Source organism: Homo sapiens, chromosome 14 (genome assembly GCF_000001405.40).
Source record: "Homo sapiens chromosome 14, GRCh38.p14 Primary Assembly".
In the NCBI taxonomy this organism is placed as follows: domain Eukaryota; kingdom Metazoa; phylum Chordata; class Mammalia; order Primates; family Hominidae; genus Homo; species Homo sapiens.
Window position 1 is genome coordinate 29,456,768 of NC_000014.9, and position 20,016 is coordinate 29,476,783.

A 20,016-nucleotide genomic window follows, 5' to 3' on the forward strand; every position below is an offset into this window, starting at 1 on the left:
TATAAAACAGGATTGCTACGATGCTGGCAACAATGGAAAATCATTAAAAGAAAAATATGAGCAAAGATTAAAATGAAGTAACTTGAATAAATGTTTTTAAAATCCTATAAAAAAGAGATAATATAAATACATTTATGGTTAAGAAATAGGAAAATTTTATACAGTATACCTGTATATTATTTATCTTAATATTTGTCTTTTATCAAAATCTTAAATGAAGCATTCATTGCATTCATTGCAAAAACAATAGACAAAGGTTTTAAAGCATATGACAGATTTGATGCCATAAAGAGTTTTCCCATGGTTGCTCTATGGATTTTGACAGCAAAATAGTGGTTTGGGGCCTCATTTATTATTTGAATATTTATTTGGATTTCCAGACAGCTTAATTTATTCTCTCAGAAAAAAAAGTATCAATTTACCATTAAGTTTGCATTATTTTAGTCTACATCTTGTATTATTTACCTTACCATGAATTTTAAATGATGATATCTTGACTTTTCAATTTCACATGATTTGGAATGTGTTAATTTAGTCAGTTAACCCATTAGAGTTTTGTTCAGGTTTTTGTTCTTGTTTCTGTTTTTCAGAACAGAAAAGACTTATAGTACTCCTGATTTTAGCAGGTAACTGAACTAACCTAAACTAATTCACAGGTTTAAAAATTAACATGTGAAAAAAGTTACTTATTCCTCAAAGTTCAATCAACAAAGATGTTACAAAAGTAACATCACACACAGAACATATCTGAGGAAAATATAACATCTTATATTGGTTTTCAATTGACATTCAAGTACATAGTTCAAATTCTTGATTAAGAAATATTAAAGTGAGGCTTCATATTTTTGGATGTATATGTATGTAAAGGATTGAAGCTGATTTTAACACTTAGATAAGTTTAATTTAGGGAAAAACACTAGAGACTTGGATCTCACAAAGTGATTTAAAGAAAAACAATCATGATTCACATTTTAATTATTACAGGAATTGGAGTCATTTCACAAACAGTTAACATTAAAGTTATGTACATTGTTATTGTTTATCATTAACGTTCACTTCATTTAAAAAATCATTTTATTGGCCGGGTGCGGTGGCTCATGCCTGTAATCCCAGCACTTTGGGAGGCCGAAGTGGGTGGATCACTTGAGGTCAGGAGTTCAAGACAAGCCTGGCCAACATAGTGAAACCCCGTCTCTACCAAAAATACAAAAATTAGCCAGGCGTGGTGGCAGGCGCCTGTACTCCCAGCTACTTGGGAGGCTGAGGCAGGAGAATCGCTTAAACTCGGGAGGGGGAGGTTGCAGTGAGCCAAGATCACGCCATTGCACTCCATCCTGGGTTGACAAGAGTGAAACACTGTCTCAAAAAATATATATATTTTATTTATCACAAAATAAGAGATGAACTTTTTAGATCACTTCTGAATTGGTATTTGTTTCCACAAGCATATTTTTAAATGTACAGAATATTGGGAAACTGAAGGAGATTATGTAGGAAATCTGTAAATGATGAAGAGTGTTTTAGCAACACCCTGCTATGTACCAAAATTACATATTTCTGTTAAATAGCAACATTCTATATTACAAATAGATTCTAAAAATCAAATGTCTCAAGTGAAAGTCTCTTAAACATTTCTAGTTACAATTAATGGGAAAAGCAACACCCACTTCTATGCATAATCTATTCCTGCTATTTTGTTTAAGTTAAATAAATAGCAAATGATTTCAGAAGTAAATAACCATTTTTAATGCCTAAATTATTTGGTAAAGCGAACAAGTTTAAGTGCTAACTAGTATTTTGCATACATACCATAAGATACAAAATAGCACGTGCTTTCTATTTATATTGGTTACCAATCTTGATATTCAAGGGAAGAGTGTATAAAGTTAACAAGCAATTATTATTTGCCAAATTAGTACTCAACAACCCTGAGTAAATAGGAAGTTTGAAACCTATCTGTTATACAGCTACTTTAATTTGCATAGCACACTGGTGTGTTTGCTTTGCAAATACTTTGCAATGAATCATCATTTGTACTATACAGTCCAAAGAAAAGCAATCAAAATTCACAGCAAGACAATGAAATTAATTATAACTGTTGAATTCTGTGGTGGTAATTCCTCCTCATGCAGGAAGATTAATTGCATTGCACTTTCCTTGCACTCCACTAAATGATCTGATGAATGTATAATCATTTACAGATTTCTCAAATGCTGAAAATTGATTACCTTTGATTAGCTCTGATCTGCACAAAGAGCTCTGACAGAGTATCAGTGAAACATTACAACATTACAGACAAAGTAACAAATGATTTAATTACCAGTGTGCTTATTAATGTTAGATTCCCTGCAGTGATCCTGGCAAATCAGGGGCCTGTAATAGACCTGTGGGTTTCACTGAATTCCATTAGGGTTTAAATAATATTTCTCACTATTTCTCAAATCCTTCTTTTCATGGCTCCTTAATAACTCTAATTAATTTTAATTTGCACAAAAAAATCCACAGCATCTTTAGAAACTTTTAATTAGCTATAAAATAAAACTCTTCTCCTCCCAAGAAGACATATATGATCAACTTTGGAGTAGCCTCACAAATAAGTTTTCATTAATAGTAGTTAGCTCTCTGTAATATTATTAAATTAAAATCTAAAACCAATGTGGAATTGCACATGTGGTCCAACTCTTCTCTTCTAGCGGCAAACAAAATGCGATTTGTTAAACAAGAACCAAGTTAAAGAACAATATGGTAAAACGTTTAGATAGTAGTGTAGGAAGCATCGTCATAATACTCTTTCTTTTATTTTTAGTGCATACGTATACTTGCAACCATTTTGTTAACTGTAGCATAGAAAACACACTGATTAAGGAGCTTCAGAGTATGTTGAAAGAGGATTTAAAAATGCAATAGCAAGAGAACACTGGCCCAGTTAGACACAGAATGTGATGAATAATGTTGGCACAAACAAGTCAAGCTTATCTAGACTTGTACTCGGGAACATTCAGATCACTTTGGATTGGCAGCTTTTAGGGCTTTCCCCAATTTGATGCCATTATATATGACATTAAATTATTGTGAAGCAACGACAATGAAAACCCAGATGATCAGAGGAGTCAAACAGAGCGGCTTAAATTAAAATATGTGTCTGCAAGTGTTTCAAGGCAAAGAAAAATTAGAGGGTAGGCAATTAAAAGGTTGTTTAGCACAGAAATGCTGATATACAGACAACTTTACAATAATATTTTTTCACAGTGGCTTTGCAGTTCTGCAGAAACAAGGCAGTGCTGCAGGTGTTTCTGGGTGGCATTTCAAAAACCACTAGCTATAAAACTTAAGACATGGGGATATGCAGCCCCTGATGCTGATGAATACATTTATTATGTTCAGTGCTGTCAGCAGCTGAAAAGCTATCCATCACATTGAAACAGCACAGAGTCAGGAGTCTCTTTTTGTGGAGAAATATTGAAGTCAGATTGTTGATGTCAAAAGTCAAAGTATAGTTCAGCTCTCTGTTTTATGAATCTGACTGAGACACATTGTGCCTGTGCGCAAACTGATATCTACCAGAGCTCATTTTAGCAAATGTGTGATTTAGAAGTCAAAAAAACATTCGTACAACCAAACTCATAGCAGGCAGAGGCTGTGGCGTGCATACATAGTTTTTACATTTTAATATGACACCGTGTGGTAGTGTTTATCATCTGAAATCTAAGCCATATCAACTTTCTAGCTATGATATTTAAGATCTGTGTACTTTCAAAAAAGTATTCACACAATAAAAGAATACATTAAAATATCGCCTCAATAGCAATGATATTGGCCTTGTTGGGCTTGGTTTTGCTTTTTTCTTCTGAATATCAAACCACAAAGAAATGGTGAATTCACTGTATTCGCAATTAAAAAAATAGACACTATTTAGGGCCAAAATTATATCAGAATTTAATGGCCACTGGGTTGCAGACACTACTTGAAGCCCCTTTTGTACACATCCACCTCATTACACTTCTGGACTTTTATTATGATATAACTTATAACGTCTGAACATAGATTTTATACATAGTCCTACGTTCCAGACATCCCCAATAGCCAAATGTTGCTGAATTCTTAGAAAACAAGAGTTAAATAGAATAAAAGAGCAAATTTTCTATCCTCAGCCCCCTCTTTTTTGTTTTGCTCCTCAGTTCACCTTATTTCGAAAGATATCCATCTTTTTCTTTCCACTGGAATTTTTTAAATTATTTTACAAAAAAAAAAGTGAATGAAATGAAAATGGTTTCGGTGGTACATATTCATTCCTATTTAACAGAATCTTTAAACTAACTTAGTAATAGATGACACAGCTTGGAAACTATTGTTTTATTTGATCAAATCTTGGGGATCAAAGTGTAGGTTTTGAGTGTATTTCTTTAAGCGAGGGCTTTGTGCCTCCGAGGTAGCATATGCTCAGAATGCTATTACACTTGCCAGCCTTCCTGCAAATTTGTGGTGTTTAACAAAAAACAAGCACATTTTTCAATTCAAGTCAGGAAGACGCTTTTATTTTTGCTGATTTCGCCTTCTTTTCTCTTTTCTAGCACAACCCTCAGGGCGCGTGATGTAATGGTCAGCACTTGCACATGGGAGCCAGAAAGCCTTTAATGAACTGCAAACTTTGTTCAATAAAAATGATTGTGTTCCAGCTTTTTTCTCCTTCCAAAGAAGAGAAAACATACAAATATCATGTAGAAAGCTTTAGGAATCGTAAAGACCTCAGTAGGTCTTAAAAGCATTATTTATTTTTAAAAGCAAGGAAAAAGAAGCAACACACACACACAAAAACAATAGCAGAGATTATTTTTATCCTAACTTGGTTCAATGACACCAGATGCAGAACAGGGCTCTATGGCCTGAAGGGTCACGAGTTTGAGTCAAAACTCAGCTTCAAGTTAATTGGCTGGTGTTTGGGGCTACACAAATTGAAGAGAGACATATTTGTTTCTGATGGGGAGAGGCAGGATCACTGTTCTTGAGTCTCTGCACCCCCTTGCTAGCTTGTCAGGAACTCTCTCTGGTGAATAAATATCTTCAAAGTTGATACCTCTAATCTTTCCTGATAATAAATAAATAAATAACAAGTGTAATCATGATGGATTCTGTTAAAGATTAAAAAGAACAAAACAAAACCAAAACGAGAGTGGAACTTTATTCCTTCCAGGTGCATATTCAAAAGCAATGTTCGTTAACTCTTGGTTTTGCCTATATTATCAAGCAAAAGTGCTGACATCCATATGCATTTAAATAAAAGTTGATATCATATCCTAATTTTTAATATTTTGGAATGGAATGTGCAATGTTAAACACTATAGTTACATGGCCAGACTTTTTTGCATCCTTTTTAATGATTTCTTTAAAAATCAATGGGAAACTTCCTTGGAATACTAGGCAGGATTATTTCCTTTTAAACTCTCTCCAGGTAGATATGTCAGGAATCATTTGAAATACTTATATGTCTGCTGGGGGAAAAAAATCGGCAAAAGAGAAAGAACCACCATATGGAATTCACTAAACAGTAAACCTCTTGTCCACCGAAATTACACCAGTCCCCACATATTAGGAAGACATTGCAGAGGCTGTGCTGTGTGCCTTCCAGGCAGAGCTCCATAGCCAGCAATTAGTCTATATAGTCAGAGGCCAAAAAACCTTATTGTCTTACTTGCTGTATAATTATCTGTTATGATGAACTGTGATTCTAAGGACTATTGTCTTTAAGCTTGGATCTGTGTGTAGAGTGGTTGTCTGGCTGAGACCCAAGAATGGACCTTCCTTTTAGTATCTCTGCCTGAGTGATTTCTCTGGTCTCTTCCTGGCTGGATAAAACAGAGACTGTTTCTGCATGATTTCTTGGGTTGATGAGAAGCAATTATGCTTTAAATGAAGTCATTCATGTCTGCCATTTTGTTTGCATATTTTCCAGTGTTCACCTGTTATTAAACCTGTCTTTAAACTGTAAGCTAGTTCCAAGTAGACTTTTGTGTCCAACACAGTTCGGTAATCAGAGGAAAACAAAATAGATAAAATGTTTTCTGCACAAATCACTCAAGCAAGAAATCTAATAAAGTGATTAAAATCTAAAATAGCATTTAAGAATTTCCTGGGAATTTTTATTTCTTTGAATTTCCCTCCCATTCCCTGTAAGAGGGCAATTGTCTCAGCAGTCAGTGTGAAAGTTACGCAACTTTGTCATCTGGTGGGAGAGAAGGAAAAGGCAGAGGAAGGAGGGAGTATTAATAAATCTTATTCCTATTGTCAGAATAGTTATTGTTGTTCATTATAACATGAAAATGACATATTGGCATATTCAATAAAAGGATTATTTGAACTACTTATCAAAAATTGATTATATCTCATAGGTCAATTTACTTAAAATATGAATTCAATAAAGATCATATAATGTAACCAGACATAATTATTAATTAAAGGTGTATTCTAATGAACTTACGACTACTAAAAAAAGAATATTTTTACATCAAGTCTTGTAAAACAGAAACATTCCACTTCACATCTTCTGGTCTTCAAACATCTGAAAAGCAAATGCCTAAACTAGCTTATCACACATTATTAGGTGAACTATAGCTTATAGCTACGAAAGTCACAAAACAAAGCATGAGAATATTATCAATTTATCTAAACAGATCTATGTTTTATTAAATGAAATTTTATTTAATAACTTTTTACTTTTTGCCTTTTGAAAGATTTTACATTTAGTGAGCTATTTATTAGCCATTCCTTCCTAAGAGGTATATTTTACAGATACAATTAGCTTTAAAAATAAGCCATAGTGGTTGAGCCAGAATGATTTACTGGATATTTTTAATAGTAAACACAAAATGGAATATTGTTAACCAAGTTGGAAATATATCGGACCCTATGATTACTTAAATTATTTCATGTAATTCTCCTTTTGGAAAAGAATCATTTTAAAATGGATATAAATAAAAAGTAATTGAACTTTAAAACAATTTCATTTTGCTCAACTTTTTTAAATTCCCAACTAACCACGTGAGTTTGATTTTTGAGTTTCAATGAAATAAGAGAAGGGTTACTGATCGTTTAAAAGTACTTCATTTATCACCACTGAACAGAAAGCATTTCCCCCCCTGAAGAGGTTTGTACTAAGGTGACCTCTGCTGTTTAAAAATAAGGTTTGCAAAAGGCAGTCCCTCTCGTAAGATATCCAATAATCCTAAATTACAAGGATAAAAGTGGATACTGCTGTGCTTAAAAGTATTTACTAAATTCATTACTGTTTCGATTATATACATGATTTTTAAGCATTTTTTCCTCATAGCTGGGAAATTTCCTCTGTCATTTTTACCTCCTTGCATTTTGCGTACAAATTCTGACTGACTGGGATCCCTGCCATTGCATTTTCTTCTCACTAAAGGGTTTTATCTGCTCCTGGTGGGGCAAAGTCATGACCCAGAAAAAAATTGATTCATGAATTCTCAGGGTGCAAGTAAAGAAGAGAGGAAATATGCCTTGGCTGAGCTCCGACTAGTGACAATTTAAAACCTGTAATTAGTCTGAATTCAAGCTGCAAAAGGAATCTGAATTAAAAATTCATTAATTCAAACTGATATATTAACTTGAACATACTAGATCCCTCATTATAAAGAGTCATTTTACAAGCTGTTGTGTTAACTGCTGGAACCTAAATTTTACTAATTTTAAAATTATTTAAAGGTGTTAGAAAGACCACCAGACTATATTGCATTGTGCCTTCTCTCTACCTTGAGAAACTCAAACTTTATTGGATTTGCTTGGTGTTAACACCTTAGCCCTAGGTTTCATTTCCATCTCCGTCCTAAATTTTGTGTTTGTAAATCTCCACTGTCCTGTGGAGCACACATTCTCTTACGAGTCCCCCGCTGATGTTTCCAAGACCCCAAGTCCCCTTTAGCTAACTCCCTGACATTTTCATGAACTACACTGCTGAAATGTTATACAGTAATTAAGGTTGATACTGGGGCACATTCAGTCTCCAGTACAAATTAAGATGGAAAAGATTATCATAATATTTTGCTAATCTGTTTGGTAGTTTAGAGTTGTTCCCTGTGGGGGACAAACAAAAAAGAAAGGTATTTCAGGGTTAGGCTTCAGAAGAAAGATCAACCAGGTAGTAATGATTGTTTTAAAATCACACGTATTTTAAACTTTTCTTCTGAAAATCTTTATGTGTTGACATATTGTTACTTAAGTTATAACTCCCTTGGGACCAGTGTGCAAGCTTGTCAAGCGAGTTAGTAGGCACTGTCAATGGATGGGCTCTTGAATTCAGACTAAAATTCTGTTATCATTGTGTGGAGTTCAAATCCAGGTACCACCAGCAGCTGGAGGCTCTCCAACTGTCAGTAGTGTCTGAAAAACACTAAGAGACTAAATAATTTAGATTACACTATACTGACCTGTATAATTGTTTAAATGAGTAATGCAGTCACCAACTGAAAGAGGTCAACCATCTGTAGAGGAAACACAGAATTTGGTTTCATTTCCAAACAAACTTTTGAAGAGCAAATTGTTTTTTCTGTGGGAGGTAGGGGAAAGTCTGAAGACAGATTAATGGCTTTTCCCGCTAAATAAAGGTTAAGGCTTCTGTCATTTCTAGAACGCAACTTCAATAGAAAAGAAGCAATAGGGCAGCTGGTCTCAACTGCCACATAATCAACATGCACAGGCACTGTTTTGAGTGGATTAAAAGGTAGGTGGCTTTGAAAATACAGTATTATTTCATTACATGTCATCATCATTCACTACATATATGTGTGAGTACATGTGTATATAAAAAGAAAAAACTTGGGTAAGACTAAATCCTTAAGTTAGAATAATCACATTTTTGCAGATAATGGCAAGTGGTTTGTTTTAAATGCCACCCTACCTAAATCTTTATCTCTAAAATATGGAGTTACTATAAGTCAGATTTTTGAGATGCATACATTTAGGTACCCAGTTTACTTTGAGGAAAAAAGTGCTTATTTTAACTAGATTAACACATACTGATCAAACTCTTAGTGTTCAGGCAGCTCACATTGAATTAAAGGCTGCCATAATTAAGTGCTCCTACCAACTTATTCTCCAGAACCATTACCTTCCAACGGGTTACTTGCCAGGCAAAGTGGTTTAATTATTGGATTTCTCCTGAGATCTCCTGTTCTCCTGCCACGGTACCATAACAGGCTTCTCTGATCTCTTTATGGTAAAACAAATTATAAAAGAAGAAAATGACAGAGAAGAAAGAGACTAAATTCTGTGTGCCTATGAGCTAACTATGAATTTAATGCAATGAATTAAAATATATCTATATTTTATATACATAAATATATATAAAATATATATAACAGAAATATATATACATAATATATAAATTTATATACAAAAATATATAAATATATTTAAAAATATAAAATAGATATATAAAATATATAAATATATAATATATAAAAATATATAATATATAATATATAAATATATAATATATAAAAATATATAATATATAATATATAAATATATAATATATAAAAATATATAAATATATAATATATAATATATAAAAATATATAAATATATATAAATAATATATCAATTTATATATAAATACATATAAAATATAAATATATATGTATCTTTGCTATTTGAGTTTATTTCCTACACATACACACATGTGCACACATACACGTTTCATCACAAATTGCTTGAGGTCACATGCAGATAATGTTTAGTAAATTCTTTTCTCAAATGTTTTTGAACACTTTGTCTATCCATCTAGCAAGAATGTTCTTCAAAATTCATCCTTGCATCATTATTCATCTGTTCTGAAGTAATAAAACTTTTTGTCATAATATTCAATGTATCAAGAAGATATTTACATTGCATACATAAAATCTTAAGCTATTAAAATGCTCTATGGTTGTAGTAATGCTCATCCAATAAATCTGCTTGTTTGGGCAATATCCACATATTGTTATCAAAATGTGATTTTGGTTGCTGCTGGTTGATAACAAATGCTAACTGGGAATGCATTATTTTTTAGAATAAATTTTCTGAGCGACTACTGAGGGCTTGGCACTGTGAAGTATGCAGAAATAAACAAAATATAGACACGACTCATGATTTGCTTATGATATAATATAGCCAGAATGTTAGAAGTTTCTGTGCCATACTGTCATGTTCTAACTTTCATAGGTAAGCACTGTCATGCATTTTTCTCTCTCTCTTTCCCTCTTCCATGCACATGCACGTGCGTGTGCACGCTCACACACACACACACACACACACACACACACACACACAAAGCTTTAAACATTCCTCACATGAGCCCAGTTAAATAAAGATGAAGAAAAGGAGCATGATTTCACAAAGTATTTCTTTGTACATGTTTGTGAGCCCTGAATGCCATCAGTATTCTCCTTTCTCACTTCACCTACCTCCCCAAAATTGAAAGTACAACGGGTGGTGAATGGTAAAATATGACACAGTTGATAGACATATTTCAAGTAAAAGGCAATATAATGGATAGCTCTGGTTCATAAAAAAAATTAGCACAGAATTAACAACTTAGTAGTGGATAAGAAAAGACAAAGTTCAAAAATTTTGTTCATTTTTCCAACAGGATGCATCAGTTACATTGACATAATCTTGATACACTAATGTCTACTTGTTTATCTTTGGGTTCAAACGTTTCTACATTACCTATCACAATATTTATCAGATAAAATGGAAATAAAAAATATCATTCCAGAATATAATTTCTCAAATTATTTGTTGAATTTCTAAACATTTTTCTGGTCTTAAGGCAAAAATCATAGTTTGCTTGAATACTGCAAATATGAAGTCCTTGCCTCATCCCAGTCACTGGACTAAGTGCCTGGGATGTAGCAGTGAATAAACAGTACATTCCCTGCTCTCATAGAGCTTACATATTAGCTATAAACTATGAAAGCTATTAAACCTTCTAAAAGGAGCAAAATAGCCCAATGTTTGAGGAAAAATAGAAAGCTCAGGTATCTAAATTATCTAGATCAGCACTGTCCAATGTGGCAGTCATTAGTCACTTGGGAAAATAGGGAGGTGATGGGGGTTTTCAGTAGAATACGATGTGATATTTTTCAAAGACCACTATGGCTTCTCTGTTGAGATTAGCACAATCAAGTTTATACCAGTTGTCTTGGAGTATACCCTTTCACTCTCAAAAGTGCCCCAGTATGAATGACAAATATATGGTCACCCTAAAGTACAAGACTATAAAAGTAATGCAGTAGGAGATTGATCCAGGTAGCTTGGATCATGGAGGTAGCAGTGAAATAAAGCATATTCTGCACAGGAGATGATACTTATCACATAATCCTACATTTCCTTTTTCTTAACTTGCATTTTATTTCTTGTGGTAAAATACATACAATAAAAAGTTTACCATTTTAACCATTTTTAAGTGTGCAGTTTAGTGTATTAAGTACATTCACATTCTTACACAACTATCATCACCATCCATCTTGGCAACTCTTTCTCCTAAAAAACTGAAACTCTATACTCATTAAACAATAATCTCCCATTACCTCTTCCTTAAGTACCTGACAACCACCATAAGACTATCTCTATGAATTTAACTAGGTATTTCATGTAAGTGGAATAATACAATATTAGTCCTTTGGTAACTGGATTATTTCACTTAGCATAACATCATCAAAGTTCAGGCATATTGTAGGGTGTGTCAGAATTTACTTTTTTTCAAGGCTGAATAGTATTTGATTATCTGTATATATCACACTTTATTTACCCATTAATCCATCAGTGACTATTTGGTTGCTTCCATCCTTTGGCTATTTCAAATAATGCTGCAATGAACATGGGTGTACAATAATCTTTTTGAGACCCTTCTTTCAATTATTTTAGGTATATATTCAGAAGCAGAATTGCTGGACTATATAGTAATTCTATTTTTAATTGTTTGAGGAACCATCATTTGTTTTCCACAGTTTGCTGCACCATTTTGTATCCCAGCAATAGTGCACACAGGTCCCAATTTCTCCACAGTGTCAACAGCTCTGGTGACTAGTTCCGTTCTGTGTGCTTCTTTGATATTAGTCAACCTAATGGGTGTGGAGTGGAATCCTGTGTTTCTTAAGCTACAATTTATATATCTAGAGTCAACATAGCTCATATTCCTAGAATGTCAAATTATTGCAAAATATGGTAAAACCTACTTTTGTATTAAAACAATAGAGTTTTTGGAATTAAATCCATTTTGCAAAAGAATTAATCACATATATTTGTTAAGATAAAAGTTTCCGTTTGAAAGCACAATAGCATAGCCCTTCCCTAAGTCTTCATGAAATGCTGGTTCATTCTTCTCTCTTGATTGAGGTGCTTGGGTGGAATAATTTGTAAAGCAGTGGAAAATCTGTTCTTACTAATACTCATACCAGATTATGTCTGCTAATATTTGAGTCTGTGGTTGACCAAATGCCTGACATATCAGATATGACTTCTATATATTCAAGTCCTATTACTGGAGGTAGGGAATGGCTGTCACACTAAGGGCTGATAACTATGGAAATTCACAAATAATCACAGAACTTTCATCTTTAATAACCCTTTCAGCCTAATATTTCCCCTATTCCTTCACCAAAGTAAGTAGTACATAATAATCTATCCAACTTTTTTTTAATTGAGAAACAGCATTGCAAAATAGTTAAGAGAATAGCCTCTGAAGTCAAACTACTGAAATTTTAATTTCAGCTCAAGTGCTTACTAGCTGGTGGTCTGGGTGACATCAGGCAACTTACTTATCCTCTCTGTAACTTAGTTACATCACCTTTAAGACATCAACACATGCAAAACACTTTGAAAAAGACTTCAACAACTGTTTGACATATTATTACTATTTAAATTACATTAAGCATACATTCAGCCACAATAATAAATATACTATTTCTGATTAATTAGTATTAATATTCTCTATAGTTATGAATATCTATTATATCCACCAACAGGTCACTCTGTAAGTAAACAAAGGTAAACATAAAACGAATTCACAGAGGAAAATCTTCAGGTTTGTAGGTTAAAAACTTTGCCTTGATTAGAAGTACAGATAAAAAAAATTCACTTGAATTTGTTTAATTTGGCATTGTTAGAAAATATCCAGATCAAGGGAACATTTCATTTGGTTCACCAGTTCTAATACAAGCTACTATTCAGAAAAATCAACAGAAGTGCTTGCTTCATCTAGAAATGTGTTGTTGTATAGATGTATTATATTGCTGTTTTCCACATTAATCTACCAAAAAGTCCATAAATGACTACTGTACAACACTATCATCTGACTAGGGAAAAGCATTTCAATTCTAAATACGACATGATACTTCCTTAGGCAAACACACAGAAAAGTCACTAACATTTGGCAAATAATTGGCCCCAATAATTGAGTTCCCTGATGACGTGAAATAGTTCATGGCTACCCCCTAACTGCTGTAAAAGGACAATGAATCATGATTGTCAAAATATGAACTTTATCAGAATGACTACATTTGAATTTAGCTTGGAGTTTACTAATGAGGTGAGTATTGTTTTATACAGAAATTTCGTTTTGTTTTGTTTTCTATTATTGGGTTTAGAGTCAGCCCTGAAGATGCCCTTACTGGGAAAAATTGAGCTAATGAATAACATAGTTACCAAAATAATTTTCACAAAACTTAATAATAAAAGCTTTAAAACTTTTTAACAATTCAGTGATTTAAAAAAATACTAATTAAGCACAAGACATTCTTCTTAGAATTGTATCATGTCAATTCCCAATGAAAATAAATACAATATTTAGTCTAGCACATAGCAGACCTAGCATATACTGTCATTTGTAATCACCTGTGACTCAAACAATTATATTTTATCATTGATCATTAGCTGTCAGAAAACAGATATGAAATGGCAGGGAAGCTCCAGTCAAAGGTTGGTGGAAATTTTTTAGTGATTCAACTCATTCATTCATTTAAATTATAATTCATAAACCATAAAATTTACTCTTAAAATTTTACGCATTAATAGGTGTTAGTATATGTACAAATTTTTGCAATCACAATCACTATCTAATTCCGGTCATTTTTGTCACCCGAAAAGAAACCGTTTACCAATTAGAAGTCACTTCTCATGCTTTATTCTCCCAATACCTGGCAACCACTAACAGGATTTGCCTATTTTCAACATTTCATATAAATACAATCATACCATACATGGCCTTGATGTCTGACTTCTTTCACTTAGCATAATGTTGTCAATGTTCGTCTGTCTTGTAGAATGTATCAAAGCTTCACTTCTTTTCACAACTGAATAATATTCTACTGTTTAAATTTTAGGATTAGCTTTTTATTTCCTGAAAAAAGTCAGCTCTCGTTTGATAGTTTTGATACAGATTGCATTAAATCCATAGAATAGTTTACAGAGTATTGCCATCTTAATAACATTATATTCAAATCTATTAGCACAGAACGTCTTTCCATTTTCTAGGTCTTTAATTTATTCACATTTATTAGGTCTTTGATGTATTCACAGATAATATAATTTTCTATATTGACAATTGGATTAGGTTTGTTACTATTTTCTGACTACTTTTGTGTTTATATTAATAAGGAATATTGGTCTGTAATTTTCTTTCCTTGTGATATTCCTGTCTGATTTTGGTGTCAGAGGAACACTGGCCACATAGAAGAATTGGAAAGTGTTCCCTCTTCTTCTATTTTTGGAATAGTTCATAAAAGATGGGTGTAAATTTTTTTAAGGCTTCTTATTTTTTTAAGTGTATGTTTTGCACTTTTCTTAAATCTGTTACTAAGCATTTCATTCCTTTTGATGCCATTAGAAATGCAAATTTTTTCTTGGTTTGCCAATCTCTGCCTTGTGATTTGAGAATTGAATTGACTTATATTTAATGTAATTGCCCATATTTTATTATTACATATGGCATTTTACTATTTGTTTATGTCTTATGTCTACATGTCATGTCTTTTTTCATTTCTCTGTTACTCTATTTCTCTATTACAAGAATATTTTTTGTGTCAATAGATATTTTCTAGTGTACCATTTAAATCCAGTGTCATTTATTTTACTATATTTTTTACATTTATTTTCTTAGTGGCTGTCCTGGAATTTACAATTAACATATTCACTTATAACAATCTGTTTCTTATTGATACCAAGTTAATTTTAATAGTACACAAAAAATTGCTCTATGTAGTTCCATTCACTCCCTGCTCCTTTGTGCTATTGTCATATAATTTAACCTTCAAACACTATATGCCCGTCAACACAGATTTATAATTATTGTTTCACGTAGTTTTCTTTGTAAATTAGGTAGAATTAAAAATGAGCTACAAATTTAAAACTACGTTAATATTGTCATTTACATTTATCTATGCAGTTATATTTACTGGTGCCCTTTATTTATTCTTGTAGAGTCAAGTTACTATCTCGTTTCATTTCAGCCTAAATGTCTTCCTTTATTATTTATTTTAGGGCAAGTCAGCTAGCAATGTGTTTTCTCAGTTTTTATTCATCTTAGAATATGTTAATTTTCCCTTCATTTTTGAAGGGTAGCTTTGATGGATATAGATTTCTCATTTGACAGTATTATTCTTTCAGCACCTTGAGTCAGTCATCTCACTCTTTCCTGACTTGTGTGATTTCTGTTGAGAAATTGTCTGTTACAAGAGGTAACTTACACATAAAGGTAACAAGAGGATCCTGTGACATAAAAAGTCACTTTAATTTTCTGCTTTCAAAATTCTTTATTTAGCTTTTGAAGTTGATTGTGTTGTATCTAGGTGTGGATCTTCTTGAGTTTATCCTAAGTGGAATTCATTGAGCTTCATGGGTACACAGATTGTTGTTTTTCATGAAACTTAGGACATTTTTGGCCATTATTTTTTCAAGTATTCTTTTTGCCCCTTTCTGTCTCTCCTCTGCTTCTGGAACTCCTATTATGAGCATGTTAGTATGCTTGGTTCTATCCCTTGGGTCTCTTGAGATTTTTGTTTATTTTCTTCCGTCTTTCGTTCTTGGATTTGGATAATCTCAATTGACGTATCTTCAAGTTCACTAAATTTTATTTTTGCCATCTCAAATCTGCTACTAAGCCCTTTAGTGAATTTCTCATTTCAATTTCTTTAATTTTTAATTCTAAAATGTCTGTCTTTTTATAATTTCTATCTTTATATTGATATTATCTATTTGATAAGATACCATTCTAATATTTTCTTTAGTTCTTTATGTATACTTTCCTTTTGTTCTTTGAAAGTATTTTAAATTGCTAATTTAAAGTATTTGCATAGTAAATCCAACATCTGTATTTCCTCATTGGCAGGTTCTATTGACTGCTTTTATTCTTGTGCATGAATCATACTCTTGTTTCTTCACATGCCTCACAGTTATTTTCTTGAAACCTAGACATCTGCAATAATATAATGTGACAGCTCTGTAAATCAGATTCTCTATCCCATGGTTTATTATTCTTGCTGATATATTTTTTCAGTGGCTTTCCAGAACTAAATCTGATCCTTTAAAATTTGTATTCTCTGTTGTTTCTGTGATTAGTTAGCTTAGTGGTTGGCTAATGATTGGACAGAGATTTCCTTAAATTCCTGAAAGCAATAGGTTGTCCAGCCTTTGCTCTGTGTACATGTTGGGTCATCACTTAACTGTTCAGCTGGTCAGTTTTCAACTCTGCTTTAGCCTGCACTTTCTGTTTTAACAGAGCCTCAGGGTCAGCCAGAGATGAGAGGTTAGGGCCTTTTTAGGTGTTTCCTGGGCATGTACGTAGCCCTGTGGACTCCTTGATTCCCAGGAATTAGTAGAAGCTTTTCAAAGTGCCTTACAGACATCTCATCTCTAGCTGTTTCTTTGGCAAGCTTCTTGTTTGCTCCAACTGTTATTGCTGCCTCAGACAGAGGTGATATCAAATAATTACAACTGTTAGTTTTCTCCCAGGGGAAAAGTGATTTGTTCAGAGTGATTTCTGAGTTGCTTCACATATAGACAAACCCTTCCCGCAAGTGAAGAGTTTCAGAGAACTGCAAGATAAATGACAATTCTCTGAGAATAGAGCGTTGAAAAGGCATCAACCCATTGTGACCCTTCTGGTGACTGCTAACTGCCTTGTTTTCATTGTGATTGTGGGGCTGCTGGTTCGCAAGGCTACTGCAGAGCTGGAGAAAGAGGGGTAGAATTAGGACAAATTAAAATACCACAAAGTTTGCTGTTCTTACCCAGATTCAGCCATTTTTCTTTAACAGATGTGTCTTGGATTGTTGCAAGTCTTTAGGTAATTTCCAGAGTTCTAAAAAAGATATTTAGACCATTTTTGCCAATGTTTTTATTCCTTAATGCAGAAGTGAATTTTTGAAATTCCTTACTCCACTATTCCTGCTGCCATCCAACCAAAGTCCTTGATGTTTAAACATCAAATTATTTATCATCTTCAAAGAAGGTTTCAATAGATGATTTGGAATTTTACTTAGTTCCTCTCAATCAAACTCAAATAATAGTTAATACTTACTGAATTCCTTTGGGTCTTAGTGCCTGGGAATAGCTTTTGAATATGTTCTAGGTCCAAAGGGTTGATTCAAAGTCAGATAAAACATGGCAATCATTAAAAATCCATGCTTAATAAACAGGTATCCAAGATATAATTATTTTCTTCTTATTGTTAACTTAATATAGGTCACTATGGGTGTCACAGCAGGCAACTTCAGAAAGGAGATTATATCAGATAGAATTAAGAAATCTACCAGAGACAGTGCTTATTAATTAATTATTGTGCCCCTGAGTTTTGTGAGCAGTTCAGTCCAGAAAGAAAGAAGAGAAGGATCTGCTGAGTGACTGGGGTTCTCCAGTGGACATACTGGGAAATTTATAGAGGTACTCTATGTTCAGTGGTATTGCATCTTTTCTCACCTAAGCCATGTTTACAGTGAGACCCACTCCCATATTTCTGAAATGCTTTAAGTAGCCCCACTGAAAGGTCATAAAATAGGCTTAATTATCCTTTTCCTGGCTTTTCAAATCTTTAGATTTCACAAGCTCTTGCCTTGTTATAGCTGTGAGGGTTAATTTTATATATCAACATAACTGTACTAAGGGATGCCCAGACAGCTGGTAAAACATTATTTCTGGATGTGTTTGTGATGGTGTTTCCAGAAGAGATTAACATTTAAATCAGCAGACTGAGTAAAAAAGATCCTTTCTCACCAGTGTGGGTGGGCATCATCCAGTCCACTGTGGTCTCAAATAGAAGAAAATGTGGAGGAAGGATGAATTTTCTCTCTCTGCTTGAGATGAGACATCCATCTTCTCCTCCCTTCAGATATCGGTGTTCCTGGCTCCTGGGCTTTTGGACTCAGGCCAGGACTTATACCATTAGCCCCTCAGTTCTCAGACCTTCACACTTAGAATGAATTACACCACCAACTTTGTAGCTTGCAAACAGCAGATCATGGTAATTCTTGGCCTCTATAACTGTGTGAGTTAATTTATGTGATAAATCTCCATACATACATGCACGCACACAGACACACACACACACACACACATATATATAATTGGTATAAATATACATATATACACACACACACATATATATTCCAATATGTGTGTATCTATATACACAATGTATGTGTGTTTATACACACAAGTCATTGGTTCTGAAATAGCTAACTCAAACATTTCTGATATCAACTCTGCCAAACCTAAAATTGGTATTTCCTATATTAAACTACCTAATCCAGTACATCAATTTCTTTAAATTTTCTAGAAATGGATTAAATGACTAAGTTTTGCTAGTTTAGCTGGTAATTTTGATACAATTTGAAGTCAAATATTTCAAAACTATAGCTCCCTCACAGCTGAGGTAGATGACTTATCCTGAAAGTGTGGGTGTAAAATTATTTCTGTCCTGTACTTTGATGTGTAATTATACTTTATTCAAATGCATCTTCAGGAATTTGAGTAGCTCACAAGCTACTTCTTAAAGGAAAAGATAAGCCCTGAGGGCTTTTACTCACATCTGTACAGGAGGGAACTCCTCTCTACAAAAAGAATTCAGTCTGACTCATGTCATAACAGCATGTGAAACATCTCATCTAAGACAATAAAAGCACTCAATTAGATGGTGCTGATTAGGTGTGATATATGCATTAATCATTGCCTAGAACTTATAGTTGTCTCTAGTTTCAACTCCATTTTATAGAAGAGGATGCATAGGCACTAAAGTACTGCAACTAAAAAGAGGGCGAATCTTGCATTTGAACCTTGGCATTTTGTCTCTACAGCTGCACTTTATACTGCTACAATAAACCTTTGAGAGCTAGACATTTTTAATTCCTAACACAGAACTTATATGCAAACCGTGTTTTATTAGTGATATAAACACATTCTCCTATCTAGTTTCCCTTCAAAAGCTCTAAGTGGTACATATCAAAAGAAAATAGAATATTTAGAGGGGTGTATGAGTAGTTTGTCTGATAGACTAAGAACTACCTCATAGCAAATTAAACCAGAAAGCTGTAAACTTGGACCACATTCACTAAGCCTCCCACGATAACAGATTTACTAAGTAAATGGTTTACAAATTATTTACAAAAAAAAAGACAAGTAAAAAATATTGCAAATAATTTACAAGTACTAGAATTTTGATGTGATGGCCTTGATTTTTATCTAGAGTCTATATAGGACAAACCATATAAAACTATCATTGGAAACCATCTACATATTTTGTTCAATGTCCCTTACACATAATTTTTTCCTTTGAAAAAGTAATCCACATCTTTTACAAGATTATAGGAGTTATAAAATCCATTCTGTTTACCTTGTTACTGGCTATCAGGAATTTCTGTGTGGGTTTAATCACAGTTAATATATTTGCTCCTGTAATCATATATTTTCGACTTCCAAAAAAAAAAAAGCATTTTTTTTCTCTATTCTAAACGGTTTTTTGAAAAAAAA

General features: G+C 33.2%; 1 annotated feature.

Annotated features, from left to right (window-relative positions):
* Positions 1,511–2,845: an enhancer, noted in NCBI's record as "VISTA enhancer hs598". NCBI's record gives its function as "enhancer in: neural tube[4/4]" and the evidence as "EXISTENCE:transgenic organism evidence [ECO:0001131][PMID:17130149]".